Below are 19,672 nucleotides of genomic sequence, written 5' to 3'. Positions count from 1 at the left end.
AAGAGAACAGCACTGAGTAAACTATCCCTATGATACAATCACCTTTCTCCTTCAACACGTAGGGATTAAAGGTTCTCCCTCAACATGTGGAAATTACAATTAGAGATGAGATTTCAGTGGGACACAGAGCCAAACCATATCATTCCACCCCGGCCCCTCCCAAATCTTATCTTTTTACATTTCAAAACCAATCATGATATCCCAACAGTCCTCCAAAGTCTTAACTCATTTCAGCATTAGCTCAAAAGTCCACAGTGCAAAGACTCATTTGAGACAGTGCAAGTCGCTTCTGCCTATGAGCCTGTAAAATCAAAAGCAAGTTAGTTACTTCCTAGATACAATGGGGGTATAGGCATTGGGTAAATACAGCCAAGTGGGAGAAATTGGCCAAAACAAAGGGGATACAGACCCACACAGGCCTGAAATCCAGCAGGGCAGTCAAATCTTAAAGCTCCAAAATGATTTCCTTTGACTCCAGGTCTCACATCCATGTCACACTGATGCAAGAGGTGAGCTCCTATAGTCTTGGGCAGCTTTGCCCATGTGGCTTTTCAGGGTACAGCTTCCTCCCAGCTGTTTTCACAGGCTAGCATTGAGTGTCTGTGACTTTTCCAGGTGCATGGTGCAAGCTGTTGGTGGATCTGCCATTCTGGCATCTGCAGGAGGGTGGCCCTCTTCTCACAGCTCCACTGGGCAGGGCCTCAGTGGGGACTCTGTGTAGGGGCTCCAATCCTACATTTCCTTTCCACACTGCCCTAGCAGAGGTACTCCATGAAGGCCCCACCCCTGCAGCAGAATTCTGCCTGGACATCCAAGATGTTTCCATACATCCTCTGAAATCTAGGTGGAGGTTCCAAACCTTAATTCTTGAGTTCTGTGCACCCACAGGCCCAATACCACATGTAAGTTGCCAAAGCTTAGATCTTGCACCCTCTGAAGCAACGGCCTGAGCTGTACTTGGTCCCTTTTGGTATAGCTGGAGCAGCTGGGATACAGGGCACCAAGTCCCAAGGCTGCACACAGCAGGGAGGCCCTGGACCTCCAGTCCATAAAACCATTTTCCCTCCTAGGCTTCTGGAATTGTGATGGGAGGGGCTGCCTTGAATTTCTCTGACATGCCCTGGGGATATTTTCCCCATTGTCTTGGTGATTAACCTTTGGCTCCTAGTTACTTATGCAAATTTATTCAGCTGGCTTGAATTTCTCTCCAGAAAATGGGTTTTTCTTTTTTTTTGAGTTGGAGTCTCACTCTGTTGCCCAGGCTGGAGTGCAGTGGCATGATCTCAGCTCATTGCAACCTCCACCTCCTAGGTTCAAGCAATTTCCTGCCTCAGCCTCCCAAGTAGCTGGGATTACAGGTGCCTGCCACCACGCTTCGCTAATGTTTGTATTTTTAGTGGAGATAGGGTTTCACCGTCTTTGCCAGGCTGGTCTTGAACTCCTGACCCTGTGATCTGCCCTCCTCGGCTTCCCAAAGTGCTGGAATTACAGGCATGATCCACTGAGTCCGGCCGGGTTTTTCTTTTTTATCGTATGGTCAGGCTGGAAATTTTCCAAACTTTTATTTTCTGTCACCTCTTGAATGCTTTGCTGCTTAGAAATTTCTTCTGCCAGATACCCTTAATAATCTCTCTCATGTTCAAAGTTCCACAGATCTCTAGTGCAGGGGCAAAAAGCCACCAGTCTCTTTGCTAAAGCACAGCATGAGTGACATTTACTCCAGTTCGCAATTAGTTCCTCATCTCCATCTGGGACCATCTCCGCCTGGACATCATTATTCACATGGCTATCAGCATTTTGTTCAAAAACATCCAACAAGTGTCTAGGAAGCTCCAAATTTTCCCACATCTTCCTGTCTTCCTCTGAGCTTTTCAAACTATTCCAACCTCTGCCAGTTACCCAGTTCCAAAGCTGCTCCCACATTTTCAAGTAGCTTTATAGCAGTACTACACTGTCTGCAGTACCAATTTATTTGGAGTACCTACTATTTTTTCAGGTTTTAAGAATATTTGGTTGAACAAGACATATGTGGCACCTATACTGAAGCTTATATTTTTGATGAAACAAAATAAGCAAGTGCACAAATAAATTAACAATGTCCTTTTAGATATTTATTAATATCCTAAATAAACATAACAGAAAATATGATAAACAGTAATATGGCAGATGGTGGTGATGACTACTGTATTTAGCAGGAGAAGCATAAGAAGTTTTTTCTCAAAGTTTGTTATTCAATCTGAGACCTGGAGTGCAAGAAGTAATAACTATGAGAAGGTTTGAAAGAAGTGGGAAAAAGAAGTGCTAACAAGGTTGTTACATCTGAAAAATCTGGAGAAAGTGAAGTGTGGCTATATCTTATTAAGTAAGAAAAGAGTGGCAAGAAATTAGATGTGAAAGAAAGATAGAAACCAGATTCTGTGGGAAACTATAGGACACGGTAAGGAGGTATTTGTTATTGTGGGTGTTTATTCATTTGAGTGCTTATGATTTGAGGGGAGAGTCTAATGGGAAACTACGGATTGGAGAGAGGTAATTTATGTGATATAATTTACACATGAAAAAGGACAAGTTGTAGGAGAATTCCAATTAGAAGAATATTGGAGTGTTCCAAGTGGTATATAATGATGGCCTTAGTATAATAGAAGTAGTGGCAGTGACAATAAACAAACATGGAAAGAGAAGTAAGATACATGACTGTAGGAAAGTAAAGAAAAATAACAGTGACATCAGCAAGATGTCTGACTACAGGTGCTGGGTGCTTGCCCCACCCTTCACAGAAAAGGACAAAACAAAAATAAACTAAAACTTTACCAGATTGTTTGAGGAAGAGCACTGGAGTGCAACAAAGGAGTAGCAAGATTCCTATAAAACATGGATGCCCAGTACATCCCGGGCATCTGCCTCTTCATGTTTTCGCTGCACCCCATCTTCGCTGCTGAGACTGGCTCAGAGCTGGGAGACACTTCTTTTTGCAGGGAATAGGTAATCCGAAGGCCTCCAACAGCCTCCATTATTACCACAGATATTTGCAGTCCTTACCCCAAGAAAATCCCACCATCCTCACAAGTTATGAGCTGAGTTTGGGAGCCGCCTGGAATTTACGTTGCTGTGCCACTACAGAGTAGTAGCACATAATGGACACTCTCCAATGTCCACGGCTCAAGCTGCTGCAGCATGGTGCTATCTTAAAGCTGCAGCCACTGCTGGCGTGTACCCTTCTCTGAAAGCCAGGAGCCGCTGTGCCTCTTCAGCCTTGAGGATTTGCTGCTATACCACCACTCTCACAGGGGCAGCTATAATACCACAACCCTGGCTTCTCAGAGCCTAGGCCCAAGAACAGCCATGACCCTGGTATAGGTACTCCTATACACTCCTACACAGTGGAGTGTATAGGAGTATACCTATAGGTACTCCTATACATTTCTACACAGTGGAGAAGCCAACTCTGGGTGAGGTGAACTACTGCATGCCCATGTATCCGGCTAGAGAACCAACTTGGAAATTATATCCTCAGTGTATCCACCCTCCAACCACCATATACATATACAATTAGCTGAGGAAACAGCTTGGTGGACCAGTTCCCAGAAATGTCACACCACCATTGCCAAAAACTCCCACAGCTTAGGCCACCAAGGCACTCATACCTATCTCTAATTTGGAGTATGTCTGATGAATCAGCACAAAAATTAAATTACTGGGTCCACCCAGAACCAAAGCAAATGCACTCCACTCAACCAACACCATGGGACCCATTTATGGTAATAAGCCTCTCTTTTTAGGAAAGCTGCTCTTGTGTTTCTACATTTGCCCCCTGCACATGTGGTAGAAAAATTGCTTCTTCCAGTTTTAACACATGTGCAGGGGTAAATGTAGCAACAGAAAAAAACGTGGCAAAGGAAGAAAACATGACACTTCCAACAGAACGCAATAATTCTTCAGTAACAAACCACAAAGAAAAGAAATATATGAAATGCCAGAGAAGAAAGACAACAACTTAAGGAAACTCAACACAATTTAAGAAAATAAAAAGACAATTCAATAAAATCAAGAAAACAATTCCTGATAAGTGAAAAATTCAACAGAGATAAGTGATATAAAAAATAACCAAAGAGAGATCTTAGAATGGAGAATGAAGTGAAATAAAAACTACAGTTGAGAGCCTCAGTAGCAGACTAGAGAAAGCAGAATAATTTCTGAACTTGAAGGTAGGTTCTTGAAATGATCGAGGTAGCCAAAAAAAAAAAAAAAAAAGAATAAAGAATAAAAAAGGAAAAATAAATTCTTCTGGACTTATGGGAAACAAACAAACAAATTTTTGCATTATAGATGTTTCTGAAGGAGAAGAGATGAAAAATGCAGATTTCTAACCACAGATTTCTCATCAGAAATCTTACAGTCCAGGAGGGAATGGAAAGGTATATTTAAAATGCTAAAAGAAAAATCTGCTAGCCATGAACACTATACTCAGGAAAGCTATTCTTCAAAACTGAAAGAGAAATAAAGCCTTCCCAAGATAAGTAAAAACTGAGCAAATTCATCACCACTACACTGGCCTTACAATAAATGCTTAAGGCAGTCCTATATCTGGAAGTAGAAAGATAATAACTACCATCATAAAATTACACAAAAATATAAAACTCACTGGTAGAGCAGATACACAAATGAGAAAAGAATCAATCTTTATCACTAAAGAAATGCAACTAACCGCAAAGATAAAAAAAAAGAAAGAAAAAGCAAGATAAGAAGAAAACAGCAAAATGACAGGAGTGATTTTTCATCTATCAATAATAACCTTGAATGTGAAATCCCCAAAAAAAGAAAAAAAAGAAAACACTAAATGCTGCTACAAGTAATTTACTTCACCTGTAAAGAAACAAATAGGACTAAAAGTGAATTGATAAAAAAATATATTCTATGCAAACAGAAACCAAAAGTGAGCATAAATCAGCTAGCTATACTTATATAAAACAGAGTTTGAGTCAATAACTATAGGAAAAGACACAGAAGGTCACTATATAATAATGAAACCATTAGTTCAGTAAGAAAATTTAAAATTGTAAATAAACATGCACCCAAAACAGAAGCACCCAGATATATAAAGCAAATATTATTAGATCTAAAGGGAGAGATAGAGTCTAGTATAATAGTGGTTGATGACTTCAATAATCCACTCTTAGTAGTGTAGAAATCATTTAGACAGAAAATCAACAAATAATATTGGATTCAAACTGCACTGACCAAATAGATCTAACAGACTTTCACAGAATATTTTATCCAAAAGCTGCAATAATATACAATTTTTTATCATAAGCACATGAAACATTCTCCAGGATTAACCACGTTAAGCCATAAAACGAGTCTCAATAAATTTAAAAATTCAAAATTTTATCAAATTTTTTTCTGACCACATAAAACTATAAATAAATAACAACAGAAACTTTGGAAACTGTACAAATACATAACAATTAAACAATGTAATCCTGAATGACCAATGAGCAAAAAAAAATTTTTTTTAATTAAAAATAGTTATTGAAACAAAAGGAAATAGAAACACAACATACTGAAACCTATGGGATACAGCAAAATAAGTAATAAGAGAGTTCATAACAATAAACACATACATCAAAACATAGAAATACTTGAAATAATAATCTAGTGATACGCTTCAAAAAAGAAGAAAGGCAAAAAAAAAATAGAAGGCAATAACTAAGAAACATCAAAGCAGATGTTTAGTTATTTATTGCCTTCCTCTAATTTTCTACTAAAACAATATCACAGAAGAGCAATGAAACAGAAAGTTGGTTCTTTGAAAAGATAAACTTGATTAACTATTGGCTAGACTAACAAAAAATGATATAAAATAAAAGCCCCAAATAAATAAAATCAGCAATGAACAGGAGACATTAAAACTGATACCACAGGAATAAAAAGGATCATTAGTATCTATTGTGAAAAACTATATACCAACAAATTAGAAAACTTGAAGGGAATTAATAAATTCCTGGACACATACAACCTACCAAGACTGAACGAAGAAAAACTGAAAGGCTAACAGATCAATAATGTGTAACAGGAGTAAAGTTTCCCATCAGTAAAAAAGAAACCAAAAAAATGTCCAGGACTAGATGGATTCACTGATGAATTCTACCAACTTTTTAAAAAGTACTAATACCAATTCTTATCAAATTATTCAAAAAACTGAAGTGAACGAAACTCATTTTATGAAGGCATCCTTACCCTGAATGAGCGAGTGAGGCTGTATCAAACTGAAAAGCTTCTGAACAGCAAAATACACAATCAGCAGAGTGAAGAGACAACCTGTAGAATGGGAGAAAATATTTGCAAACTATTCATCTGACAAAGGACTAATTAATATGCAGAATACACAAAGAGGGTAGAAGAGTGGTTACTAGAGGCTAGGAAGGGTAGGATGGAGGGAGGATAGGAAGAGGTTGGTTAACAGGTACCATAGTATAACTAGACAGGAGGATTAAATTCTAGTGTCCTAGAGCACTGTATAGTGACTATAGTTAAAAACAACTTACTGTATGTTTTCAAATAGCTAGAAGAGCAGTTTTTGAATGCTCCCATCACAAATAAATGGTAAATGTTTGAGGTTATATATATTCTAGTTACCCTGATTTGATAATGACACATTGTATACGTGTATCTAAATATCACACTGTACCCCATAAATAAGTACAATTATTTCACATCAATTAAAAATAATAATAATACTTTGGGAGACTGAGGTTGGCAGATCACTTGATGCCAGGAGTTTGAGACGAGCCTGGCCAACACAGTAAAACCCCGTCTCTACCAAAAAAATGCAAAAATTAGCTGAGCATGGTGGTGTGCACCTGTAGTCCCAGCTACTCAGGAGGCTAAGGCAGGAGAATCTCTTGAACCCGGGAAGCAGAGGTTGCAGTGAGTCGAGGTCATGCACCGCCCTCCAGCCTGGGTGACAGAGGGAGACCCTGTCGCAAAAAAAAAAAAAAAAAAAAAAAAGAGAGAGAGAGAGAGAGGTAATAATAATTTTTAAAAGACTCCTTGGTTTTTGGCTTAGGCAACTAAGTAAATATAGACGTCATTTACTGAGATGAAAAAATGTTGATTTTTGAGGGTGATAATTAATCAGAGCTCCTCAATGTCCTAAAAGTTCAAGACAAACTGATAAATAAACAGGTGTCAGACAGGCGGAAAGCATTATTACTGATAAGCTGAATTACAGAATAGAGCTTGGATCACAACTGATTTGTTAACACCACCATGAATTAAATACATTAATTGGATAAGGGCTATAAAATTTAACTGTAGAGTAGTTCCATTGGAGCAGGCCATTTGCCATGTTTCAGAGTGAAAAAGAAAAAACATCTATATGCTGACATTGTGATAATCAAAAATAACAAGGGAGGGAGGGAAAGACAGAGAGAGAAAGAGAGAGAATGCAAGAGAGAAATTGATTAGATTTATAATTCACCAAATATAAGATTTATCTTCTTTTACTGGGGAGGAGTGCATAAGTGGTGGAATCATTGTTCAGAAACATTATTTGGCAAAATAATATATACGGTAACTTGAAGAATAAAGAAAAATAATAATTTGGGGTGGAGTTAGATGCCTCCACAACACACACACAAAAGTTCTGCTTTTGTTAAGTTTGAAATGGGTATGACACATCCAAAAAGAAATGTCAAATAGTCAAATACACAAGTTTAAAGAGTGGATATATCACATATATAGATAGGAAAGCAGATGTCAATGGTGTGCGAAACTATGTGGATATGCAAAGAGCAGTTTAGAAAAAGGAGATAATATAGAGCCAAATAGAGAATTGTAGGGCCCTACAATATTTAGATGTTGAACAGAAGATGGATCTAGAACAAAGGGGACTGAGAAGATAGAACTAAAACCAAGAAATTGTGATATCATGGAATCTGAGAAAAATCATTACAGAAAAGAGATGTACATGCACAGAATGTTCCTGAGAAGTGACTACAGAATGTAATAACATGCAGGCCTTGATATGTCTTTGATAAGTTTCAACACAGCAATAGTGATGGAACATGCTTCAAGGTGGATGAATATAAAATGAGAGGTGAAGATATAGAAACAAAGTGTAAGCGACTCTTTCAAAAATGTGTAAATGTGTATGTGTGAGTGTGTAGATTCCTAACACTTTAACTGCAGGGGGATATGAGTAATGGAGGCTAATTTTATTAGTAGTTTGTTGGTTTGTTTTTCAGAGGGACTTGGAATGTAGTGGCCATATTCTGCTACATCACCTACTGATTTTTTTAATTTTTAATTTTGATGGGTAGATAGTAGGTGTATATTGATTGGATACAAACATATTTTGATACAGGCGTACAACGTGTGATAATAGTATCAAGGTAAATGGGGTATCCATCACCTCAAGCATTCATCACTTCTCCATGTTACGAACATTTCAATTTTACTGGCTCATTGACTTGAAATTGTACAACAAATTGTTGCTGACCACAGTCACGTTGATGTGCTATAAAATACTGGATCTTAGTCATTGTATCTAACTATACATTTGTACCCACTAAAACCATGTCCCTCCCCTCCACCATCCAACTACCCTTCCCAGCCTCTGGCAACGATCATTATACTCTCTGTGTCCATGAGTTCAGTTATTTTAATTTTTAGCTCAAACAAGTGAGAGCATGTGAAGTCTGTCTTTCTGTGCCAGGCTTATTTCACTTAAGGTATATAATATCCTCCAATTTTATCAACGTTGTTGCAAAGAACAGGATCTCCTTCTTTTTATGACTGAATAAACTCTATTGTGTATATATTCCACATTTATTTTATCTATTTGTCTGATAATGGAAACCTAGGTTGATTTCAGATATTGGGTAATAAACATGGAAGTGAGGGTATTTCTTCAATATACTGATTTCCTTTCTTTTGGTTATTTATCTAGCAGTGAGATTGGTGGTTTATATGGAAATTCTACTTTTAGTTTTTGAGGAAATTCCACACCATTCTCCCTAGGGGTTGTACTAATTTATATTCCCATCAAGAATGTATGAAAGTTCCCCTTTCTCCACTTCTTCACCAGCATTGGTTATTGCCTGTCTTTTGGAGAAAAACCATTTTAATTGGGGTGAGATTATATCTCATTGTAGTTTTAATTAGCATCTCTCTGATGATCAATGATGTTGAGCACTTTTTCATATACCTGTTTGCTGTTTGTATGTTTTGAGAAATGTCTATTCAGATCTTTTGCCCACTTTTTAATCAGATTATTGGATTTTTTCATACTGTTTGAGCTCCCTATATATTCTGGTTATTAATCCTTGCCAGGTGGAGAGTTTGCAAATATTGTATTCTATTCTGTGTGTTGTCTCTTCACTTTGTTGATTGTTTCCTTTGCTGTGCAGAAACTTTTATTAATAACTTGATGTGATTCAATTTATCCATTTTTGCTTCAGTAGCCTAAGCTTTTGGGGTGTTACTAAAGAAATCTAGAGTCAGACAATGATCTACAGAGTTTCCCCAAAGTTTTCTTTTAGTAGTTCCATAGTTTGAGGTCTTAGATTTAAATATTTAATCCACTTTGATTTGATTTTTGTATATAGCAAGAGATAAGGGTCTAGTTTCATCCTTCTGCATATGGATATCTAGTTTTCACAACACCAGGTATTGAAGAAACTGTCCTTACCCCCAGTGTGTGTTCTTGGTACCTTTGCTGAAACTGAATTCATTGTAGATGTATGAATTTATTTTTAGGTTCTTTATTCTGTTACATTGATCTATGTGTCTTTTATGCAAATACCATGCTGTTTTTGTTACTGTAGTTCTGCAGAATAAATCGAAATAAGGTAATGTGATTCCTCCAAATGTGATTTATTTTGTTCATTTTGCTCAGGATAGATTTGACTATTCTAGGTCTTTTGGGGTTAGGTATAAGTTGTAGAATATTTATTTTCTTTTCTGTGAAGAATGTCATTGATATTTTCATAGGAATTGCATTGAACTTGTAGATTGCTTTGGCTAGTAAGAACATTTTGATATTGATTCTTACTATCCATGAACATGGAATATCTTTCTATTTTTTGTGTCCTCTTCAATTTCTTGCATCATTGTGAAGATCTTTCACTTCTTTCATTAAGTTAATTTATTGGTATTTTATTTTATTTGTAGCTATGGTAAATGGGGTTACTTTCTTGATTTCTTTTTTACATTGTTCACTGTTGGCATACAGAAATACAACTGATTGTTTATGTTGATTTTGTATCCTGCAACTTTACTGAATTTATCAGTTTGAATAGTTTTCTTGTGGAGTCTTCAGGTTTTTCCAAATATAAGATCATATCATCTGCAAACAAGGATAATTTAACTTATTCATTTTTAATTTGAATAGCTTTTATATCTTCCTATCATTTGATGCTGTAGCTAGGACTTCCAGGGCTATGTTAAATAACAGTGATGAAAGTGGGCATCCTGTCTGATTCCAGATCTTAGAGGAAAGTCTTTCAGTTTTTCCCTGCTCAGTGTGATACTAGCTGTGAGACTGTCATATATGGCTTTTATTGTATTGAGGTATGTTGCTTCTATACCCATTTTTTAAATCATGAAATGATGTTGAATTTTATCAAATGTTTTTTCAGCATCAATTGAAATGACTGTATGGTTTTTGACCTTCATTCTGTTGATGTGATGTATCACATTGATTAATTTGCCTATGTTGAAACATACTTGCATCCCAGGGATGAATTCCACTTTTTTATGATAAATGAACTTTTTAATGTATTGTTGAATTTGGTTTGCTAGTACTGTGTTAAGCATTTTCACATCAGAGTTCATTGGAAATATTGGCCTGTAGTTTTCTTTTTTTGACGTGTCTTCATCTGGTTTTGGTATCACAGTAATACTACCTTCTTAAATGAGTTTGGAATTATTCCTTCCTCTATTTTTTTCAAATAGTTTGAGACAGATTGGTATTCGTTCTTTTTAAATAAAACTAATTGGTAATTGGTTGGTAAAATTCAGCAGTGAAGCTTTTGGGTCCCAGGCTTTTCTTTGCTGGGAGACTTTTTATTACAGCTTTGCTCTCATTAGTTGTTATTAGTCTATTCAAGTTTTGGATTCCTTAATGGTTTAATCTTGGCAGGTTGTATATGTCTACAAATTTATCCATTTTTTGTAGGTTTTCCAATTTATTGGCATATAGTTGCTCATAGTAGACTCTAATGATCCTTTGAATTTCTGTGAAATCAATTGTAATCTCCCCTTTACCATTTTTGATTTTATTTATTTGGGTTTCCTCTATTTTATTCCTTAGTTAGCCTGGCTAAAGGTTTGTCAATTTTGTTTATCTTTCCAAAAAAACTTTTAATTTAGTTAATATTTTGTATTTTTATTTCAATTTTGATCATTATTGTTTCTTTTTTCCTACTAATATTGTGTTTAGTTTGCACTTGCTTTTCTAGCTCTTTAAGATATATCATTAGGTGGTTTATTTGAACTTTTTGTACTTTTTTGCTATGGGCACTACTGCTGTAGACATTTCTCTTATTACTATTTTTGCTGTATTCTGTAAGTTTTGGTATGCTGTGCATCCCTTTTCATTTGTTTCCCTAAATTTTTAAATTTTCCTCTTAATTTTTTCATTGACCAACTGGTCATTTTGGAGCATATTTTTAAATTTCCATGTATTTGTATGGTGTCCAAAATTCATCTTGTGATAGATTTCTAGTTTTCTTTCATTGTGGTCAGAGAAGATACATGATATAATTTCCACTTTTTTGAAATTTTTAGGACTTATTCTGTGGCCTGACATATGACCTATCTTTGAGAATAATTCCTGTTCTAAGGGGAAAGCTGTTGGATGACATGTTCTATAACATTGTTACATTCTCTTGCTGAATTGATAGCTTTATCATCATATAATGACTTTATTTGTCTCTTTTTCTAGTTTTTATGTTGAAATCTATTTTTTCCTGGAACAAGTATAGCTCCTCCATCTCCTTTTTGGCTTCCATTTGTGTGGAATATCTTTTTCCAAGCCTTTATTTTCAGTGTGTGTATCTTTATAAGTGAATTGTGTTTATTATAGGAAACAGATCATTGGGTTTTGTTTTTTAAAATCTATTCAGCCACTCTATGTCTTTTGATTGGAAAGTTTAGTCCATTTACATTCAATATCATTATTGCTAAGTAATAACCTACTCCTGCCATTTTGTTATTGTTTTCTAGTTGTTTCATGGTCTTCTCTTCCTGCCTTCCTTCCTGTCTTTCTTTTAGAGAAGATGATTTTCTATGGTGGTAGATATTAATTACTTGATTGTTACTTCTTATGTATCTTTTGTACTTTTGCTAAGATTACCATGGGGCTTTGAAATAACATCTTATAAAAATCCATTACAACTTAATTCTTATTGCAAAAACAATCTAAAAAGCAAAGAAAAAGCTATTACAAACTCTACACTTTAACTTCGTTCTCTTCACTTTTTGCTATTTTGTTGTTTCTATATACTTCCTATTATACTGCCTATGTCATAAAACATTGTTGTAGCTATTATTTTGATAAGTTCATCTTTCAGTCTTCCTACTGAAGAAGTTATTAGTATATATATATATAATACATATACTATATATTAGTAGTTTACATACAGCTATGACAGTATTAGAATTTTGTTTATTTTTCTGTGTACTTATTGTTACCAATGAATTTTATATTTTCTGATGATTTCTTATTGCTCATTAACATCCTTTTCTTTCAGAATGAAGAACTCCCTTTAGCATTTTTTTGTAGGACAGGTCTGGTATTGACGAAATCTCTTAGCTTTTGGGGGGTGAGGGTGGACTAGGGTCTGGAAAAGTCATTTCTCCTTAGTGTTTGAAGGATAATTTCACTAGATATATTATTCTAAGATAAAAGTTTTTTCCTTCAGCACTTAAATATATCATGCCACCCTCTCCTGCCTGTAATATTTCCACTGGAACTTTGCTGCCAGACATTTTGGAGCTCCTTTATATGTTATTTGGTTCTTTTATCTTGCTGCTTTTAGTATCCATTTTTTTATCCTTGGCCATTGGGAGTTTGATTATTATAGGTCTTGAGGTAGTTTTGTTTGTGTTAAATCTTCTTGGTGTTCTATACCTTTCTTATACTTGAATACTGATATCATTCTGTGGGGTTGGAAAATTCTCCGTTATTATCGCTTCAAATAAACTTTCTACCTTGATTTCTCTAACTCCTCTTTAAGGCCGATATCTTCTAGAGTTACATTTTTGAGGTTACTTTCTGGATCCTTTTTTGTGTTCTGTTCTTCTTTATTCTTTTGACTTCTCTGTCTATTTTCAAATAGTCTGCTGTTAAACTCACTTATTTTTTTTCTGCTTGATAAATTCTGCTGTTAAGAGACTCTGATGCATTCTTCAGTTTGATTCTTTTTAATTATTTCAATCTTTTTGTTAAATTTATCTGATAGGATTCTGGATTCCTTCTCTGTATTGTCTTGGATTTTGTTGAGCATGATTAAAAGAGCTATTTTTAATTGTCTGTCTGAAAATCCACATATATCTGTCACTCTGGAATTGCTCACTGGTGCCCTATTTTGTTGTTGGTGAAGTCATGTTTTCCTGGATGGTCTTGATTATTGTGGCTATTCATCAGTCTGGGCATTGAAGAGTTAGTATTTACTTTAATCTTCTTAGTCTGGGCTTGTTTGTATCCACCCCTCTTGAGAAGGCTTTCCAAGTATTTGAAGGAAATTGAATTTTGTGATCTAAGTCTTTGGTCAATGCAGCTATATGTGCATTAGGGGTCACCCCAATCTCAGTAATGTTGTGACTTTTGTAGATTCATAGAGGTACCACCTTGGTAGTCTTGGGAAAAATCTGGGAAATTTCGCTGGATTACCAGTAGTGTCTCTTGTTCCTTTCCCATACTTTTCCCCAGACAAGCGGAGTCTCTCTCTATCCTTGCTGAGCTCCCTGGAGTTGGGGGATAGGTGATACAAGCACTGCTGTGGCCACCACTGCCGTGACTATGCTGGGTCACACCCTAAGTGAACAAAGTATTTGGTCTTGCCCAAGGCCTGTGGAAACTATTTTCTGGTGACTGCTGATGTTTATTCAAAGCCCAAGGATTCTTTAGTCAGTAGGTTATGAATCCTGCTAGGACTGGATCTTTCCCTTCAGTACAACAGTTTCCATTCTGGCCCAGGGTGAGTCTATAAATGCTGTCCAGGAACTGGGGCCTAGGATTGGCAGCTTTAGGAATCTGCATGGTGCTTTATTTTACTGGGGCTGAGCTAGTAACCAGATTGCAAGACAAAGTCCTCTTTATTTTTCCTCTCCTTTCCTCAAGCAGAAGAAGTCTCTGTCCATGGCTAACACCAACCCAGGCACATGGTGACTAGAGACCACAGCCTGGCTACTGCTCATGTTTATTCAAGGCCCACAAGCTCTTTAGTTAGCACGCTGTGAGTCTGGTCAGGCCTGGGTCTCTCCCTTCAGGGCAGTAGTTTCTCTCCTGGCTTAGGGTGGATCTAGAAATGCCCTCCAGCATCTAAGATCTGGAATCAGGGACTTTAGTAGTGGGCTTGATGCTTTATTTTATTTTGGCTGGCCTGGTAACCAAGTTGCAAGACAAAGTCCCTTTTGCTCTTTATCCTCCTTTCCTCAAGTAGAAAAAGTCTCTCCCCAAAGCCACCACAATTTGAAATGTACTGGGTCACACCTGGAGCCAGCACAATATTGGGTGATGACTGCTGCCTGGCCACCACTGATGTTTATTCAAGGCCCAAGGGCTCTTTAGTCAGCAAGTCGTGAATTCTGCCAGGAATGGCTACTTCCCTTCAGGTGCCCCAGCTGGTGTCTCACCAGGTCATGTGTACCCCAAGTCCACTGGCTCCAACTCCAGCACAGCACCAGGGCTTGCCCAGTGATTGCAGTTCTTCTGTCCTAGAACACCTTTCAAATTAATTTAGAACCCCAGAGCGCTTTATCCTGTGGTGGTAGGGTTAGCATGAATTCAGGTTCTGACCACATAGATGGAGGATTCCCCTAGGGCTAGGGCCGGTCTAAAAGCTACCATCATGGGTTCCAGCTGAAATCTGCCTTGTATTGCTTTCTGCTGTGACAGGGGAGCACTGAGTTCCAATGCAAAGACCCGCAATCACTGTGCTCTCCCTCCCACTGTGCACAGATTCTCTCTCTGTGCCACACTGCACTACCAGGGAATTGGGAAGGGGGTGTCAGTGAATCAAGACTATTTTTCTTACCTTATTTGGTGCCTCTTTCCTTGACATGATCTTTTTCTTTTTTTTTTCACTTTGATTCTTTTTTTTTTAATTTATTTTTTTATTATTATACTTTAAGTTTTAGGGTACATGTGCACATTGTGCAGGTTAGTTACATACGTATACATGTGCCATGCTGGTGTGCTGCACCCACTAACTCGTCATCTAGCATTAGGTATATCTCCCAATGCTATCCCTCCCCACTCCCCCCACCCCACAACAGTCCCCAGAGTGTGATGTTCCCCTTCCTGTGTCCATGTGATCTCATTGTTCAATTCCCACCTATGAGTGAGAATATGCGGTGTTTGGTTTTTTGTTCTTGCGATAGTTTACTGAGAATGATGGTTTCCAGTTTCATCCATGTCCCTATAAAGGACATGAACTCATCATTTTTTATGGCTGCATAGTATTCCATGGTGTATATGTGCCACATTTTCTTAATCCAGTCTATCATTGTTGGACATTTGGGTTGGTTCCAAGTCTTTGCTATTGTGAATAGTGCCGCAATAAACATACGTGTGCATGTGTCTTTATAGCAGCATGATTTCTAGTCCTTTGGGTATATACCCAGTAATGGGATGGCTGGGTCAAATGGTATTTCTAGTTCTAGATCCCTGAGGAATCACCACACTGACTTCCACAATGGTTGAACTAGTTTACAGTCCCACCAACAGTGTAAAAGTGTTCCTATTTCTCCACATCCTCTCCAGCACCTGTTGGTTCCTGACATGGTCTTAAAACCAGGTACTGTCATCGCTCACCTGATTTTTGGTTCTTATGAAGATGTTTTTTGTGCGGATAGATGTTCAATTTGGTATTTTTGCTGGGGGATGATCGCTGGTGGGCTCTATTTGGCCAGCTTGCTCTGTCTTGCCACATTACTCATTAATTGAGAATACATACACGTTTTTCTAATGCTCTGTGACCAGTTTGTTCAGACATAAAATAGAAATATTACAACTATCATGGCTTGTTGTGAGAAGTAAAAGTATTAACACATATAAATCACTTAGAATTTCTAAGATATTAAAAGGACCCATTTATTCTTAACTACTGTTATTTTTATTGATTACTATTATCTTAATATGCCTTTACACATTTCAGTATCAACAGGAAATAGATCCTCTAAAAGTACTGTTAATTAATAAGTAAATGACTGATGGAGTATTTTTCTGCCTCTAGAGCCAGTTTACAAAAGGTCAGAGGAATCAGCTTGATCTAAATTCAAAGCTATGGTACTCTGGAAATTTACTAGATATCATTCAATTGTAGACATAAAAGAAATTATTTATGGTACGTAAAATATACTTAAATTAAGCTGTTAAAAATCAGCTTAAATGAGCAAGACCTATTTCCTATGCAGCTATAACTCTAATCACGGAGCTAGTAAAGCAGAGTAAGGGGTGTCCTTGTTTCCAGATTCCAAGCAAGCAATACTGTTGGAAGATAAATGATTCTTAAAACACTTATTTGCCTGGCATACAATTCAGTATTTTAAAAGGTTCTTCTTCTTCTTCTTCTTTTTATTTATTTATTTATTTTGAGACAGAGTCTCGCTCAGTCGCTCAGGCTGGAGTGCAATGGCGCAATCTCCACTCGCTGCAACCTCCGCCCCCCGGGTTCAAGCAATTTTCCTTCCTTAGACTCCCACATAGCTGGAATTACAGGCGCCTGCCACCATGCCTAGCTAATTTTTCGTACTTTTTTTAAGTAGAGATGGGGTTTCACCATGTTGGCCAGACTGGTATCAAACTCCTGACCTCAGGTGATCCACCTGCCTCGGCCTCCCAAAGTGCTGGGATTACAGGCTTGAGCCACTGCATCCAGCCCTGAGTAGAATCATTAATGGTTGGTAGTTCTTATAGATTACTGATGTCTACATTTCAGTAAGTAGATTCTATAAATTTATGAAATCACAAAATGTTATTTAAGATATAGTATAATATGCCCAAGCTCAACTCATTCATAATTTTAAAATAAAATATAATGAAAAATATCAAACTTACATGTATAAATAATAATTGTGATAATATTTTTATAGGCTTATGTGGTCTTAAAATTGGCAAAGTCCTTCATGTTAGTCTGGGAAGCTTAGAGGTTTTACAGTTTTCTTTTTATATCATTTTTACTTAACCCTATCGTTGATGAAATTCTCTGGGCTACATATCAAGTAAAGATTTATTTGGAGCTCACTTGATTCCAAGAAGGATATAAAATGGTTTCACCTGAATTATTGAGCCATAAATTCTGTTTCTAAATGACATGTTATTGAACCATTCTATACGAATGCCATTTCTGAATGAAATTTCAATCATATCAAAAGCTTAAAATAATTTCTGAAGGAATGTACTTATTTGACAGAGTAAACTTTTTTTGGCTATAGTAGACATTCCTGATGTATAATTTTATAACCTTTTCTGTAAAAAAAAAAGCCAGATTCCATACAGTTACAGCTAGACAGGAGAAATATTAATAGTTCTTATGATCTATACAACTGTAGGATGACCATAATTAACAATATTATGTTATATCATTTCACATGGCAAGAAGGAGGATATTGAACCTTCCCAACATAAAGAATGATAAATATTTGAGATGATGAATATAGTAATTACTCTGATCTGATCACTATACATATGTGTATTGAAACATCACTATGTACCCCAAGGATAGGTACAATTATTTGTCAGTTAAAAAAAATGAAAAGACAAACTCCAGCCATTTATTTCTCAAAAATTACATGACACATGTGTTTTGTTCAAAAGTAGGAGATACAGAATAGTAAATTAGCATGGGAAGCTACACTTTAGATATCCAGTTTTGAGATCAGAGCCAATTCCATTTACAAGCTCCAGTGCACCATTAATTAGCTCTGTAAGGCTGGACAAGTTATTGATTTTTTTTTTAGTCTCTTTGTACTATGCTGCTTTTAGGGCCTATAAAACCTAAATCATATGATTATAATAAAGATTAATTGAGAAGCATACTATAACACACTATACAGAGTAAAGTACAAAATAAGTGCTCAAGATTATTTTTGATAATGATGACAACGATTAAGAAATGAGTAAAACAACACTGTTTTCAACCTAGTAATGTGGAAAAATTATATTCAAGTGATTACAGAATTAATTATCTATTTCTGTATAAGCTCATCGGTAATTAAAATTTCAACAGAAATAACTTGAGTATTTGGTAACATTCTGAATATTGAAAAGACATGGAAGACTAATCCCAGACCTATTACAGAATTTACACTGGGCATTTTCACCAGATGATATCTTTCAATTTCTCAGTCAAAGCTTTTCATATAAGAAGATAAAAAGACCAATAGGGTAACAGCAGTGGTCTACAGAATAATACACTGTTACTCTGTTTTTTGTCATAATATGGCAATAAAAGAGAGAAATGGAGGAGAATAATGGGATAAGGTGGCATGTTATCATCATCTTTAATCTTTTGTCCGCTCCAACCCATTCAGTTGTAATGTTCCAATTTGCATGTTAAGAGACAACCAATTTAATTTGTGGTATTATCAAACCAATTATAAACTATCAGATTAATCTTTTTCTTGGATTTGAAAATTAATTTAATTTAGCATGATCTTTATGACTGGTATAAAAAAATAAATCTGAGGACAAAAATAATATTTGCCACATGAAAATCATAAACACATATGCACAAACAGATCCAACTATGCTGTAGTGATTAGATAAATTTAGCTACATGGGGAAAAGTTTGGGGCTTTTTAATTTGTGAAAGAATTATCTGCTCTAGCTTTTCTACATGCATGTGAGGTGATCAAGTAAAAATAGAACTAAATTCACATTCCTTTTTAAAGTCATATTAGAATTAATTATTTCTTTCTTCCTTGATTATGCCAGTCAAGTGTGCTATTTTTATTCTAACAAGAGAAAGAGTAAGAACCTTGAGAATATGAGAAGGTATGGGATCCAATTAATAAGTAGAGTTATGGGCCATTGATAGAGGAGAGAGACAGACTTCACTTAGAGGAGACGAAAATTTGAGTCAAAAATAGAAACATTAGTATATTTGGTGGTTAGGAACTTCTTACCTGATCTTTTTTTTTCCCGCTGAAATTGTATCTTAGTATCATGACATCACAAAATCATATATCTAAAGAAAATTTATTTTTGATTTGTTACATTTGCTTACTCATTCTGCAAATATTTATTAAGTTTTACTAGTATATGCCAGGTGCCATGGAAATTGCTGGAGTTAGGGGAATGTAAAATAGGAACTTACAGCCTAATAGGGTATACTGACATTAAATAAACCATCAAACAAATAAATGCATAATTAAAATTTTATCTCTTTAAAATAGGGCCCTTGCAAGAATTATTTGAGCAAGTAGAACTTCAGATGACACA

The 19,672-nt window shown here is 36.2% G+C and overlaps 1 long non-coding RNA gene across 1 annotated transcript in view; it reads right to left on the bottom strand.

Moving 5' to 3' along the window:
• The window catches only part of LOC107985854 (uncharacterized), a 71,840-nt gene that overhangs the window by 11,117 nt on the left and 41,051 nt on the right, over positions 1-19,672 (bottom strand). Inside the window, exon 2 of the long non-coding RNA XR_001739296.1 lies at positions 6,238-6,318. This is a non-coding gene — a long non-coding RNA (uncharacterized LOC107985854). The remainder of the gene's footprint in view (positions 1-6,237; positions 6,319-19,672) is intronic.

This window comes from Homo sapiens, chromosome 2 (assembly GCF_000001405.40).
Source record: "Homo sapiens chromosome 2, GRCh38.p14 Primary Assembly".
Classification (NCBI taxonomy): Eukaryota; Metazoa; Chordata; class Mammalia; order Primates; family Hominidae; genus Homo; species Homo sapiens.
Note: the sequence above shows the minus strand (reverse complement) of the source record. Positions and strands in the feature narration are given on the sequence as shown.